The sequence below is a fragment of the Homo sapiens genome, chromosome 6, assembly GCF_000001405.40.
Source record: "Homo sapiens chromosome 6, GRCh38.p14 Primary Assembly".
In the NCBI taxonomy this organism is placed as follows: Eukaryota; Metazoa; Chordata; class Mammalia; order Primates; family Hominidae; genus Homo; species Homo sapiens.
In genome coordinates, this window is record NC_000006.12 from 21,798,695 (window position 1) to 21,814,804 (window position 16,110).

The 16,110-nt window shown below is 43.3% G+C and overlaps 1 long non-coding RNA gene across 1 annotated transcript in view; it reads left to right on the forward strand.

Moving 5' to 3' along the window:
• CASC15 (cancer susceptibility 15) overlaps positions 1–16,110 on the forward strand; it is a 529,408-nt gene that overhangs the window by 132,282 nt on the left and 381,016 nt on the right. Inside the window, exon 4 of the long non-coding RNA NR_015410.2 lies at positions 3,963–4,046. This is a non-coding gene — a long non-coding RNA (cancer susceptibility 15). The remainder of the gene's footprint in view (positions 1–3,962; positions 4,047–16,110) is intronic.

Sequence of the window (16,110 nt, forward strand, 5' to 3'; positions counted from 1 at the left end):
TTTTTATAGAGACAGAGTCTTGCTATGTTGCCCAGGCTGTTCTTGAACTCCTGGCCTCAAGTGATCCTCCTGTCTCAGCCTCCCAATGTGCTGAGATTACAGGTGTGAGCCACCACACCTGATCCTCTTCTGCTGCTGGTTAATAGTTACACGCTTTTCCTAATGCTAATCACTGACAACTACTGATTAATCCACACATTTTATGTGTGCCTACTTTTAGAAAACCCAGCCAAACATCATACCTTCCTAGGTGCAAGAATCCTATTTCCAACTTTTAAAATTCCCTATGGGCCTGAGTACTTAATGGGTGCTTAATAATGACTCCTTGAAACACTAAGTAAAAAAAAAAAAATAGAACTCAGAGCTGAAAAACATATGAATCAAGATAATTTACAAAACAATAAAAAAGTTAAGACTACTTTCTTAAATATGAGCTCTTCAGGTTGACTAAGTGACGATTTATAATTTCTTTTCAGGGAGTCAGTACACCTAAAAGTGCTAATGATCTGAAATAAAGCTTCTCTAAAACATAACTTTTTTTCAAAGCAATTCTACTAATATCTTTTCCTTTAATGACCTCTGTGATGTTGGTATGATGAAGTTTGTTATCCCTAGCTGATAGAGTAGGACACTGAGACTAAGAGAGGAAAGAAAGGCCAGGCGTGGTGGCTCACACCTGTAATCCCAGTACTTTGGGAAGCCGAGGCGGGTGGATCACCTGAGGTCAGGAGTTCGAGACCAACCTGGCCAACATGGTGAAATCCCCATCTCTACTAAAAAAAAAAAAAAAAAAAAGTACAAAAATTAACTGGGCATGGTGGCAGGTGCCTATAATCCCAGCTACTTGGGAGGGTGACACTGGAGAATCGCTTGAACCCAGGAGGTGGAGGTTGCAGTGAGCCGAGGTCGCACCACTGCGTTCCAGCCTGGGTGACAGAGTGAGACTCTGTCTAAAAAAAAAAATAAGAAGAAAAAATAATAAAAAAAGAGAAGAAAGAAAGCTAACAGTGAGTACCAAAGATGGCTATTTCAGTAGGTTCTTCTAACAGCCATGTGAGGTGGACGTTGTTATTTCCATTTCAAAGAAGAGAATGTGGACTCTCTGAGGTTCAATAACTTGCCTGTGGTCAGTTTATATCAGAGACAAGATTCCAGATCCCACATTCTCACCCTCACTCCACAATGAATGTTTTCCTCAAGAATAAAAGTCAAATAATTCAGGCCAGGCATAGTGGCTTATGTCTGTAATCCCAGTACTTTGGAAGGCTGAGGCAGGATTGCTTGAGCCCAGGAGTTTGAGACCAGCCTGAGCAATAGAGTGAGATCTTGTCTCCACAAAAAATAAGACAAATTAGTTGGGTGTGGTGGCACACGCCTGTAGTCCCAGCTACTCCGGACACAGGAGGATTGATTGAGCCTGGGAGGTAGAGGCCGCAGTGAGCTGTGATCACACGCCACTGCACTTCAGCTCAGGTAACAGAGAGAGACCCTGTCTTAAAAAATAAAGACAGGGTCTTTAAATAAGTAAGTTACGTAAGAATTCAGGTTGCTTGTCTCTGCCCCCTGTTTTTAAAAAAGTGTCAGTGGTAGTGGTGTTTTAGTACATTACCTACTTATAAAGGATAATATACTATAATAGTTCATAAAAGTGGTTGAGGGCTTTGAAGTTAGCCAGACTTCTCTCCAAGTACCAGCTCGGCCACCCTCTAGCTTTGTGGACTATGGATGTGTTGTTTTATTTATTGAAGCCTCGTGGACTCATCTATAAAATAGAGAACCTGGTTGTTCTCCATCAGGTTGAGGGAATTCAATGGAATGAAACCTGGAAAGCACTTAGCAGAGTGCCTGGTATGTACCAGTCATTCAATAAACAGCAGCCATTAGTGTATATGAATCTTTCATTTTATGGACTTTCCACTGCTGAGATCAAAATACAAGCAAATAAATACTTAGATTGTGTTATGTGCAAAGCCACATACTATTGTTGGAATTAATGGAGGGACACAGTGATTTTTTTTTTGGACTTAAAAATACTTGTTGAAATTTAGAATGCCATCTTGTCTATAAATTTTTTTAATTCATCAGTTAAGTTACTCTATTTTCAAATTGAAAGGCTGCCAATTTTTTTTTTTTTTCAAAATTCCTGATTTTGGTTTTAAATGAGTGGATTTTCCAAAAATGAAGGATTTGAATTAGATCTTACTAAGGTGCTGGTGACCCCATCTCTCTTTCATTTACCTGACATATTCATTTCCTGAGAAATGGTCAGGTGGAGAGGCAGCTGATACGGATTTTTGTGTGTGTGGTGGGAGTGGGGGTGCTCGCTGCATACAGCTTTTGCTAATATTAAAAGATAATTGCGTACACTCAACAGGCATTGCAATTGCAGTCACATTCTCCTGTCGTCCAGGGAATGGCACTCGGCTCTGCCTAGCATGATGTTTGTTTGTTTAGGGCGAGACTAATGGTTGAGGTATTTGTGAGAAGCATTTGTATCATAGTGACAGACTGCAGGGCGCTCTTTCCTGTGTTACAGATTGCTAGGAAATTGGATAGGACCTCCTGAGATATTCTATCCCATGCCTTCCCTCAAGACAAGCCTGTGACATACATGAGAATAGCGGTGGGGGTGGGGTGGAGAGTCAGGGACCCTGTGGGAGTGAGCTGCGTATCCCATACGGCCTGGAACGTCCTGTATTCTTAGGAACAGCCTGCACATAGCAATATAGAGCATCCTTGGCACTGCATGGAAAATGGACTGATACTCTCTTGAGGGCCTCTTGGAAATCTCTAAAGTGAAGAAAGAGGAAGAAAGACAGCTTTGCTTGACAGTTCTCATCAGAAGCCTAAATGATACAGTGCAATGCTGAAAGTTGGAGGCTGGATTGGTGAGGCTGGAGTCAGATGGGGGTAGGATAGTGGTTCTCAACTCTAGATGCAAATTATAACCTCCTGGTGGCCCATTGAAGGGTGTTGTCTTTAACCTCCCAGATGATTCTCCTGTACATCTGGGATTAAGAGCCACTGAGATCCACACCCTGATGAAACAGCAAAGCAAAACACCAACAAGGGCAAATAAAAAACTGGAAACAACCCACAATGGTTGAATAGGTCCCGTATTTCCTAATGAGGCCACTGGCCTTCCCAGTTGGCTGAAATTTCTCTTTTCACATTCTGAAAATGGGTCCAGTGGGCAAATATCCTGTTGATAGCTGAGTCCACCCAACTGCATTTTGTAGCATGTGGGATGTGGCTACTCTGTTTGCTCCAGAGTGAGAAGCAGGAAGTTCACTTTGGAATCATTATTTAAAGGCTCTCTGGGACCTCAGGCTTTAAACAGAAATATATAGTGCATTCTAAGGGGTATTGTGTTTAACTATTAATAATTGTTCCTTTCATATGAGAGATATTACTGTGTAGGGTGGACAGAAACCCTCTGAGAACACCATGTGTTTCATGTTTACCATGAATAAGTCTTTCCCTCTCAAAAATCATAATTTGGAAATCATTCTTTTCCTGTGAAAACCAGAAAGTTGCTTTTTTTTTCCTTCTGTTCTCTTAATAGGAACAGTAATAAAAGTTCCCATTGGGAAAAGCTTTCATTTTGACGTGGTGCAGTCAGTGGCGGTCTCTCTAGGAAAGCCCTGGAAAAGGCATTGCTGCATTTTTCTCTGTTGCATGTGTCTTTTCTCCCCTTAGTGTCATGTCCAAGCATGATGTCACTCACATGTCATCTGCACATCCCAGGTCCCTTTGCAAATGGAAACTACAGAAGAAACAAAAATTGATTGAGTGCATAAAATCTATTTCAGGAACATCCTAAAGGGTCTATCTCAGAAGCACTGAGTTCCAAAGGATTTGCTGACATTTATTGTTCTGCTTCAGATTATTAAATGTCTTTCTGATCACATGATGCCATGTTTTGCATAGTGTGACATATCTGTCCTGTTTTAAATTCATAGGAATTGGCAACAAGCTCATTTCACTGGTGGGTTTGCTGAAGCATTATCACAAGACAGTCAGAATGACTGATGAGTGCTCTTCAGGTAGGGAAATGCTGCCAGCCTGGTTTGTATTTTGTCTTACCAAGAGTTTTGCTCCTTAATTTTCTATTTCAGTTATGAATAATCCCTTTTCATGCTAGTAGCCATAATCACATTATAAAGGATTTAAAATTTGTCATTTCCTGGTAGTATTTCTTACAGCGTAAGCATTTTTGGTTCATGTACGATTATTCTCCTTTTATTTTATTTTTTAACATGAGGAGATATCATAGGCCAATATTAAGATTTCCTAATTTTAATGTTAAGAGCTAAGCACATATTCTGGTCAAGTAGAGAAGTTAAAGAGTGACCAGACTTTATCTGAAATGGTAGGAATAGGAGACATGCTGTTCCATGATGTACCTTGACACGGTTTTTAAAAAGCAACATTTATGCCTGAGAATCTAATGAGTTTGGTTAAAAGGAGATCTAGTAAGCCAATATTCATTCATTTCTGCCTCTCCCCCTAGATTCCTCCAATCATGTTTGTTTCTGTGTCTTCTTTTTTTTTTTTTTTTGAGATGGAGTCTCGCTCTGTTGTCCAGGCTGGAGTGCAGTGGCGCGATCTCGGCTCACTGCAAGCTCCACCTCCTGGGTTCACGCCATTCTCCTGCCTCAGCCTCCCGAGTAGCTGGGACTACAGGCTCCTGCCACCATGTGTGGCTAATTTTTTTTTGTATTTTAGTAGAGACGGGGTTTCACCGTGTTAGCCAGGATGGTCTCGATCTCCTAACCTTGTGATCCACCCGCCTCGGCTTCCCAGAGTGCTGGGATTACAGGTGTGAGCCACTGTGCCCAGACCTGTTTCTGTGTCTTCTTAAATTTAGAGACCGTTAGCTTTGTGTGTGTGTGTGTGTGTGTGTGTGTGTGTGTGTGAGAGATGGAGTCTCACTAGGTTGCCCAGGCTGGAGTGCAGTGCCTATTCACGGGTGTGATTATGGCACTCTACAACCTTGACCTTCTGGCCTCAAGTGATCTTCCCTCCTCAGCCTCCTGAGTAGCTGGGATTACCAGTGTGTGCTACCATGCTCAGCAATCTTTAAATTTTTTTGGTAGCTATTTTTTTTTTTTTTTGAGACAGAGTCTCACTGTGTTGCCCAGGCTGGAGTGCAGTGGCGTGATCTTGGCCCACTGCAACCTCCTGGGTTCAAGTGATTCTCCTGCCTCAGTCTCCCAAGTAGCTGGGACTATAGGTGCCTGCTACCATGCCCAGCTAATTTTTTTTTTGTATTTTTAGTAGAGATGAGGTTTCACTATATTGGCCAGGCTGGTCTTGAACTCCTGACCTCAGGTGATCTGCTCACCTCGGCCTCCTAAAGTGCTGGGATTACAGGCGTGAGCCACCGCGCCCGGCCTTGGTAGCCATTCTTGTAGAGCACTACACATCTGTCTCTGACTGAACAGGCCCAGAGATGTGGACAAGTTGGTCTCATAGAAACTTATTTTCAAGTTCGTCATGTGAGAAGCCCAAGGGAGTGGAGGACAGCCGTATATCTGGAAAGTGAAAACACGTAGCTGTACTTTTTGGGCAAACATAAAACTACATTTGAATATAGTAAATTCTTAGATAACTGTGAGCCATGGCCAACCAAAAGCATGGCACATACAAGGAACATGTGCCGGGTGGACCTTGAATGATCACATTTAACTTTGTGTCTGTAGAACTTGTGTTTCATTTTATTTTTCCCTTCCAAAGTTGTTTTTTGTTTGTTTGTTTGTTTTGTTTTTTTTGAGACAGAGTTTTGCTCTTGTCATCCAGGCTGGAGTGCAGTGGTACAACCTCAGCTCACTGCAGCCTCCACTTGCCAGGTTCAAGTGATTCTCCTGCCTCAGCGTCCCAAGTAGCTGGGATTACAGATACGTGCCACCACGCCTGGCTAATATGTTTGTATTTTTAGTAAAGATGGAGTTTCACTGTGTTGGCCAGCCTGGTCTCGAACTCCTAACCTCAGTTGATCCCCCCTGCCTCAGCCTCCCAAAGTGCTGGGATTACAGGCGTGAGCCACTGTGCCCAGCCCCTCTCAAAGTATTTTGAGTGGAACATTGTTCATAGAAGAAGTTACATCTTTTCTGGGGTTAGGATGTACATTTCATTAGGTCCTTCCAGATACTTAAAAGGTTCTCCGCATGCTGGTAGAATATGTGGTAATTCTCAGTTGATGAATTATATGATTGTGGCAGTTTGAATACGTAGATATTATAGATGTTGTAAATGGTTTTGTCAGGCAGAGTGAGCTACTATTTTAAACTAGCAAGAATATTCACTTTAACAGGCAGTTTCTTATTGGTGGCTAAGGCTGTTACAGCTATGTCAGTACTTTTTAGAAAAGATAAGCTGAAAGTATTACTCATTTATATTTATAAATCTAATCCTATGCATAACCAATGTTGAGCATTCCAAGCATTAATCCCGTGGTACTTGGCGTATAAAGGCCATGTGGAGCTAGACCTGGAAACACACCGTATACTCATCTCTTTTTGAATCTATGGGTATTTTTCCCCCTTTGGGAGTTCATTTTTCCTGGTTGTTCTGGGGGCTCACTGAGATGTAAGAGTTTCAGATTCTGGTTTCTTTGCGGAAAGACAGCAGAGTTCAAATTAGGCTCATAGACATTCTTGCCTAGTTGCCAATAATTCCTTACACAGTGACGATGGAGGTAAAAGAACACTGAGCAAGCCAAGAGCAGGGAGGGGAAGAGAGGAATCTCAAAGAATTCAGATGGGCCTACAAGGCAATTAATGTCAATACATTTCCTGTTTCCCACAACTTGGTTAGAGGTGGAGCTTGCAGTGACCTGAGATCGCGCTACTGTCCTCTAGCCCGGGAGACAGAGTGAGACTCTGTCCCCCAACAAAAAAAGTACAATTTTTGGCCAGGCGCGGTGGCTCACGCCTACAATCCCAGCACTTTGGGAGGCCGAGACGGGCAGATCACCCGAGGTCGGGAGTTCGAGACCAGCCTGACCAACATGGAGAAACCCTGTCTCTACTAAAAATACAAAATTAGCCTGGCGTAGTGGCACATACCTGTAATCCCAGCTACTCGGGAGGCTGAGGCAGGAGAATTGCTATAACCCGGGAGGCGGAGGTTGCAGTGAGCCGAGATCGTGCCATTGCACTCCAGCCTGGGCAATAAGAGTGAAACTCAGTCTGAAAAAAATTAAAATAAAAAGTACAATTTTTATACTAACGATGGCTATGTTATATATATATATATATATTTATATAATTTTTTTAGACGGAGTTTCGCTCTTGTTGCCCAGGCTGGAGTGTAATGGCACGTTCTCAGCTCACTGAAACCTCTGCCTCCCGGGTTCAAGCGATTCTCCTGCCTCAGCCTCCCGAGTAGCTGGGATTACAGGCATACGCCACCACGCCCGGCTAATTTTGTATTTTTTAGTAGAGACGGGGTTTCTACATGTTGGTCAGGCTGGTCGCGAACTCTCAACCTTGGGTGATCCGCCCGCCTTGGCCTCCCAGAGTGCTGGGATTACAGGCGTGAGCCACTGTGCCCGGCCTTTTTAAAAAAACTTTTTTTTAGATGGAGTTTCACTCTTGTTGCTCAGGAGTTGCACCTGGAGTGCAGTGGTGCAATCTCGGCTCACTGCAACCTCTGTCTCCTGGGTTCAAGTGATTCTCCTGTTTCAGCCTCCTGAGTAGCTGGGATGATAGGAGCATGCCACCACGTCCAGCTAATTCTTGTATTTTTAGTAGAGATGGGGTTTCATCATATTGGACAGGCTGATCTTGAACTCCTGACCTCAGATGATCCACCTGCCTCAGCCTCCCAAAGTGGTGGGATTACAGGCGTGAGCCACCACGCCTGGCCAGTTATATCTTTTTACCTGACGAAAACTGTAAACAACTTTTGGCATTCTACGCCTTTCAAAACAATTCAACTTTTTTTTTTTTTTTTAAATTTAAATCATGGAATTCAGATGAGCCTTCAAGGCAATTAATGTGAGTTAGGTCATATTGAACCTGTGTTTAGAGATACGTAAGGACTTTGATTAGTGCCCATCTTGTGCCAGCTTGTATTTCCCGTTTAGAGTTGGCAAAGGACAACATGTTGTAGCATTGGTCTTAGATGAATTATTGGTCTTAGGTTTTATTACCTAAAACCTGGATTTATTTATTTTTAACAATTAACCGAACTGTGACATCAATATCAGTTCCCATTCTTTGGTCACAGTTTAGTCATTTGAGAAAGGGTTGAGAGGCTTTTTAGGAGAAAAATTCATGCACATGCAGAGTCTACTCTAACACAGAACCACCTCACATTGAGTTTTGAAGCTAAATGATCTTTCCACGGTAATTATAATTAAGACCAGTATATTACAAAGAATCAGTTTACCAAAAAGAACTTTAAAAACCCTGAAGAACTAGGCCACATGCCTAGTTCACACCTGTAATCCCAGCACTTTGGGAGGCCAAGGCAGGCGGATCACCTGAGGTCAGGAGTTCGAGACCAGACTGACCAACATGGTGAAACCCCATCTCTACTAAAAATACAAAATTATCTGGGCATGGTGGTGCATGCCTGTAATCCCAGCTATTTGGGAGGCTGAGGCTGGAGAATAGCTTGAATCTGGGATTCTGGGAGGTGGAGGTTGCAATAAGCCAAGATCATGCCATTGCACACCAGCCTGGGCAACAAGAGTGAAACTGTCTAAAAAAAAAAAGGCCAGCTGGGGACTGAGGAGCAATTTGGGGTTATGTTGATCTTCTTGGGCTGGCAGAGTCTCTGGGCAACAGAGTTCATGCAGCTGGATTAAGGTTGCACCCTGTAGTTTCTCTTTCCACTTGGACAGAAATGGAGGTGTTGGGCCTATAATCTGGTCCTTGCCCAAAGCCAAGTTAGTGTTATGCAGTATTTCTGTTTTGAACACATTTGTCCTTATTTTCCCTTTTCTCTTCTTGCCCACTAGTAGGGAAAAAAATAATCCGAGTTATTTGCTTGGGTGGAGCCACTCTTTGATTGCAATGCCCCAGGGTTTTCTAGGTTAACAAATTGGAGCTTTCCAGCCGGCTGAGTAGGGGTGGGCTACAGCTCTTCTACCCTGCCTTCTCATATTCCTTTCCTTCCTTCCCACTCCAGAAGAGAAAGCAGAGGCCTGGTTGCTGAGTGTGGAGGACATGCTGTTTTGGGGAGCCTAGGGACTGTTGACCACAGCTGTGTCTTTTTGTGGAGAGGAGTTTCAGCATATTCTTGGAAGGTGTGGGATGCAAAATATACACCTTTTAGTTGAGTACTTTTGTAATGCAGCCCTGTGTGCCTTAGAGCTCAGAAACACTGGGGAAGGAGGGTGGGGTAGTTGGACGTGAGGGTGAGGATGGGTGGGGAGGAGGCGTAAATCTCCTGGGCTCCATCAGGGCAGGAATCAACATCCCAGGAAGCAGAGACAAACCCTTTGGCTTCTGTCCTTGTGCTCCATGGGTGAATCAGAAAGGACCGTGGTCAGTTATGTGGGAGTGCAGAAAGCCAGCCAGCCAGCACGATTCGCCTTGGAGGAATGACTTCTCATGCTGCCACCTCCTGCTTCTCTGCTGGGGGTGTGGAAGAAACAGTATGGGATGTGGGCGGTTTTCTGCTGCAGTTTATTGAACAAACAGCTGCCCTCCTCCATTTCTCTCCCTCCCTTACCCCCATCCCGCCACATCCTTCTTCCTGGGGCAGGGTATAACCATGCTGTAAACTTTGGTAGTGGGAGAATCTTGCCAATACTTTCTGAAACAGCAACTTTTTTTTTTTTTTTTGGCTTGGAACTGTTAGTTCAAAGCTGGAAACAGAGTAAATAAAATTTGATCTAGTCATTCTAGAAATGATTTGTATCAGTCCAGAAAATGGCCAGAGTCCAGTAGTTTGAATCTAAAAGAGCTGAACTAAGATAAGGTAAGGAGCCAGTTTTTTAACCTGGCAACCACATGCCCCAACTTGAAAGCCTGTTTGCTGCTCTTCTTTTGTTATCATAACCTCTTGAACAGAATACGCCATTTGAAACAACAGTAAACGCTTCTCAGTGGATAAGTTTATGACCTAGTTTTTGACCAAGAGCACTTACGGGATTGAACGGCGCGGGGAAGAGCAAAGGACCTTGGACACCATTCGCCAGGAAGTTCTGTGCAAACCGGGAGCTCGGGGCTCATTAGAAGCCGGAGACATTAAGCAGCAGCTGTTTTATGGTGTGAACTTTTGCACAGAGGATTTCAAGAGGCTCATTCTCCTCGGAAGTCTGTTTGCAAAGTGGTTCTTTCTTGGCTGTTGCTTCATCCTTCTTCAGAGGCCTATTTTCACTCCGAGTGTGAGCATTTCATGCCAAACCCAGCCATGACCTTGTGGCTGCTGAGCTGCCCGCATGGCCTGACCCCACAGGTCTTGGGATGGTGTGCGCAGCAGAGCTAAACCAGGAGGGGTGTCTATCTCAGCTCTGCTGGCTCTGGGGCTGGTCGCACCCTGCAGACTTGGAGTTGAGGACCAGAAACGCAGGGGGATGTTACAAAAGGAGCGTGATCCTGCAGCCCCTTTCCTCTCTCATAAACTGGATGCTTGGCCCTCCATCCTCTCTCCAGCTTTTTTCGTGAACTCTTGCACCCACTCTCAGCCTTCCCCTCTGCACTCTATTAAATCTGAACTTGAGTTCTTGTTCCGCTTAACATGGGAAGATATGCTTTTCAAGGAGAAGTATGAGAAATGAATTAAAATATATCTACAGTTTACTAATGGTGGTATAGGCCTTAGAATATGGTTAACGAAATTTCTTCCTCCTTTCTTTTCTCTTCCTTCTCTCCTTCCTTCCTTTGAAATTGTTTTTCTTTTTATCCTCCCACTTGTATTTGCTTTTACAGTGAAACTACTCAACAAAGCATACTTAGATGTGTTTTAGAAAGAAAAATCATTCTCTCTAAAGAGCACTATTAAAGGCATGATGCAGTCTGGGATCCATGAGAATATAAAACACAGAATTTAAAGGGTCAAAGTTAACGTTAATTATCTATTAACATGATTAATATTAGTAATAAAACTTACTGAAATGATTGGGTCCCATTTTTATATTTCACATTTCTTTTTTAGTAATGTACATCTTGTATATCACAAAAGATTTACCTATTTCTGTTCTTTTATCATTGACACATGAAATCTATATACAAAAAGATTTTTAAATGGGGGGAGGCAACATTCCTATCATCTAATGGAGAAATAATTATATACATGAAAGTGCATGAGAAAATAATATTCAACATTACAACTGTTTAGGCAGTGTTTTACATTTAAATTTAAATTTAATTTACATTTGAAAATGTAAAAGGAAAATACAAGACTGCATGTGCAATATTATCTATGCAAAAGTACACTGTCGAGTGTTTAGAAGGAACCATGCCAGAGAGTTTATAGTAGTTGAATATGGATTATGAACAGTTACTTTTATTTTTAATTTTTTGGGGGACAGAATCTTGCTCTGTCACCCAGGCTGGAGTGCAGTGGTGCGATCTCAGCTCACTGCAGCCTCTGCCTCCTGGGTTCAAGTGATTCTCCTGCCTCAGCCTCCTGAGTAGCTGGGATTACAGGTGCCCACCACCACACCCGGCTAATTTTTGTATTTTTAGTACAGACAGGATTTCACCATATTGGCCAGGCTGGTCTCAAACTCCTGACCTCAAGTGATCCACCCGCCTTGGCCTCCCGAAGTGCTGGGACTACAGGCGTGAGCTGCCACGCCAGATTATGAGCATTTAAAATTGTTTTCTTTTTACATTCTCTTTCCTCAGTTTTCCACAATGAGCAAGCAAATCTTTTATAATTAGAACATCTAACCTTTATTAAAATACTTTAATAAGGATATCTTCCTCTCTGTTCTACCTATTTTTGTGACGTGGTTCATATTAATATAGGAATTACAAAACTTCAAAAAGTTATTCTTGTTTTAGGTCTGTTCATATTTGGAAGGCTTTCAATTTTATGTATACCTCACCCCACTTGGGGCCAGCCTGGGAGCTGTGGGTTTCCTCCCAGAGAGCTCTACTTAGAGAACAGGGCATTTCTTGCCTACTGTGGTAGTCTCCTTCATCTTCTCCTTTTTAAATAATTATTTTGCTGGGTGCAGGGGCTCACACCTGTAGTTTCAGCACTTTAGAGGCTGAGGTAGGAGGATGGCTTGAGCCCAGGAGTTCTGGACCAGCCTGGGCAACATAGTGAGACCTTGTCTCTATTAAAACTTTTAAAATGGCCAGGCACAGTGGCTCACGCCTGTAATCCCAGCCAGCATTTTGGGAGGCCAAGGCGGGAAGATGACCTGAGGTCAGGAGTTCAAGACCAGCCTGACCAACATGGAGAAACCCCGTCTCTACTAAAAATACAAAATTCTCATGGCATGGTGGTATATGCCTGTCATCCCAGCTACTCGGGAGGCTGAGGCAGGAGAATTGCTTGAACCCAGGAGGCAGAGGTTGCAGTGAGCTGAGATCATGCCATTGCACTCTAGCCTGGGCAACAAGAGTGAAACTCCATCTCAAAAAAGAAAATAAAAGAAAAAAACATTAAAATTAGTTGAGCCTGGTGGCACGTGCCTCTAGTTCCACCTACTCAGGAGGCTGAGGTGGGAACATTGCTTGAGTCCAGGAGGTTGAGGCTGCAGCGAGCCGTGCTCACACTATTGCACTCCAGCCTGGGCGCCAGAGAGACCCTGTCTTAAAAAATAAATAAGTAAATACATAAATAAAAATTAATAAATAAATAAGTAAATCTCTCACTGCATTGCTCAGTGATTCTTTTTCTTTGACTTAAAGGACATACTCTTTTACCCTGCTCATATTATGTTTCTGGTTTTTTTCCTTCTGGGATTTTCCTCTCACCCCATTGTGTTGTTTCTGCCCGTGTTCCTTTTTCCTCCACTGAGGAGATGATCCCTGAATTACTTTATTGAGGATGACTCACAATCAGGGAGCAACAAGTCGCCAATAAAGTTGACAGTGCTTCTTAGGGACCCCATTTGTGGCAATAAAATTTGCAACTAGGCAAGAGAAATTTCAATTTGCAATACAGTGTTTTTAATTGTTCAGATACGTCTTTAAAATACAGTATGGCAAGTTAAAGTCACTTACGAACTGCTGAGATTTTTCTTACCAAAAAAGGTGCTGCCTAGAAAGAACTTTTCAGCAGTGATGCTCAGTTGTTGGCTCAAACATTTGCAGTCTGAAATGATGAAACTGTGCTTGACACATAGTACAGAGGGACATGTTTCTTCCATATCTTGATTGGGAGAACCTTTGAACTAGAAGTGGCACTACCCAGGTTGGTGAATTGAGTAGATCCTTTAGGTACTGGTGCATTTTAGCCCTGGATCCACCTTTTATGTGCTACATAATAGAAATGAAATGAAAACTATTTAACTTTCCCTTGCTGCCTCCACTTTTTTTTGTTTGTTTGTTTCTGAGACAGAGTCTCACTCTGTCACCCAGGCTGGAGTGCGGTGGCACAATCACAGCTCATTGCAGCCTCAACTGCCTGGCTCAGACAATCCTCCTCCCCGGCTTTTTTTTTTTTTTTTTTGATGGAATCTCACTCTGTAACCCAGGCTGGAGTGCAGTGGCACGATATCAGCTCACCGTAACCTCCACCTCCCAGGTTCAAGCGATTCTCCTGCCTCAGCCTCCCGAGTAGCTGGGATTACAGGTGCCCGCCACCACGCCCGGCTAATTTTTGTATATTTAGTAGAGGCGAGGTTTCACCATTTTGGCCAGGCTGGTCTTGAACTCCTGACCTTGTGATCCACCTGCCTTGGCCTCCCACAGTGCTGAGATTACAGGTGTGAGCCACCGCGCCTGGCCTTTTTTTTTTTTTTTTTTTTTTTTGATTCTAAAGGCACACATATTAGAAATTAGAATCTTATGCTGGATAGACATCTCTCCCCTTTTTCCTGTTTGCCCAGTTTTCAAAGGTTAGGGGGAAAACAGTCTCCAGAGTTTTTATGCTTTCTCAATTTGTAACATGTGGTGGGATAGCATATAATATGTCATTTATATATTTCTGTTTCTTGCCTATATTTGCATTTCTTATTTTCTTCCTGTTCTGTCTTGGTATTTCCCTCCATCTCCTACTCTATCCCTAAATCCTTTCCAGGGTGCAAGTCAATAAATATCTGAAATTATTGCCTATTTCTGATGTCTTTCATTTTGTGTCATGCTTTATAAGTTCAAAATTCTGTAACAGTGACCATCACTTGTTACTCTTGAACATATCAGTTATTTCCAAAGTATTCTTTGTTATTGGATAGTCAGTGAATGTCTGGGGCTGAATGAAGATATTCTGGGTAGAATATGCAGTACTTTATACCTAAAAGTGAATTGTAGGAACACTGAATTACTAACTAGATGAATAGCATAGCAAACCATCCGCTGAAACCTAACAAAAGTAGCTCATTTGGGGAGTGAGTTTTGGAGAGTCACTCTGCCTCTGTTCTGTAGATTGTGGCAAATAAACATGATATAGTATACATTGTGTGTGTGTGTGTGTGTGTGTGTGTGTGTAGGTGTAATACTATCTATTTGAAATGACAATGTAAAATGAGCAGGAGACCTTTTAAGACCAACAAGGAGCTTCCTTTATCACTACTGATTCTCGTGTCGAAATAGAGCTTAGAGAATCTATGATGAAAACACTGTGACCCAAGTTCACACTCTAAGGTCAAACTTCCAAAGTTCAGCCCTTGTCCTTGTGAATCACTTAACCTTTCTGTACCTTCGTTGCCTCGTCTGTACAATGGGAATGCTGCATAGGGCAATTGTAAATTCTCCACTCTGAATGCCATCCGGGTAAGTCCCACCTGACTGAACTTGTCGATCTTAGAGCTGACCTGTCCCACTGGAGGAAGACCTCAGAGACCATTCCCCATACAAAATTTGGCCTTGCCATCGTCTGTCTTGGGCAAGTCGTTTTAACCTCTCTGACTTCAGTGACTTCTTGTGAAATGAGATGATGGTGCTATGTGATCTTTTCCCTTAAACCTCAAGCCAAACAATAGGTCCAGGCATAAGTCCTGCTTTTTTTTTTTTTTTTTGAGACGGAGTCTTGTCCTGTTGCCCAGGCTGGAGTGCAGTGGCCTGATCTCGGCTCACTGCAACCTCCTAAGTAGCTGGGATTACAGGCGCCCGCCACCACGCCTGGCTAATTTTTTTTGTATCTTTAGTAGAGACAAGTTTCACCATGTTGGCCAGGCTGGTCTCGAACTCCTGACCTCGTGATCCATCGCCTTGGCCTCCCAAAGTGCTGGGATTACAGGTGTGAGACACTGTGCCTGGCCGTAAGTCCTGCTTTCTACATGAATAGCCCTGTTGAACGAGTGAGAGCGAGGGACAGGGACACATTGGGCATCTGCACTGTGTGGGGTGTTACCTCATTGGCTTTCGCACTGCTACCAACTAGACAGGGATGGGCAATACACTGACTTCTTTGATTCCAGTCACCTTCATCCTTCTTATATCCTATCTAAGTGATTTACTTGCCAAAAGCAGAGGACATTTCTGGAAGAAAAATAATCCATTGTGGCTGGGCGCGAGCCGAGATCGCGCCACTGCACTCCAGCCCGGGCAACAGAGCGAGACTCCGTCTCAAAAAAAAAAAAAAATCCATTGTAACATAAAAATAAAAACAACACCCAAGAGGGCTATATGTGCTTGTTTTCCAGCAGGAAAACCTCGCTGCCTTCCCTGCTCATTCTCTCTCCAGTCCTTGAACCTTTTCTTTCCTTAAGACTTTTCCCCAGGTCGGACTTAATGATGGACTCCAGCGTTGGCATGGTTTTGGTTGGGTCTGCATACTCCGGTAAGGCAGAGAACAATGCTCAATCTGTCCTGGCTTCCTGAGGCTGAAGGGCAACCCTCTAGTAGTGCACCTTGTGTCTGAGCTGTTTGTTGAGCTATACTTAATTTGTGTGTGTGTGTGTGTGTGTGTGTGTGTGTGTGTGTGTGACAGAGTTTAGCTCTTGTCACCCAGGCTGGAGTGCAATGGTGCGTTCTCGGCTCACTGCAACCTTGGCCTGCCTGGTTCAAGTGATTCTCCTGCCTCAGCCTC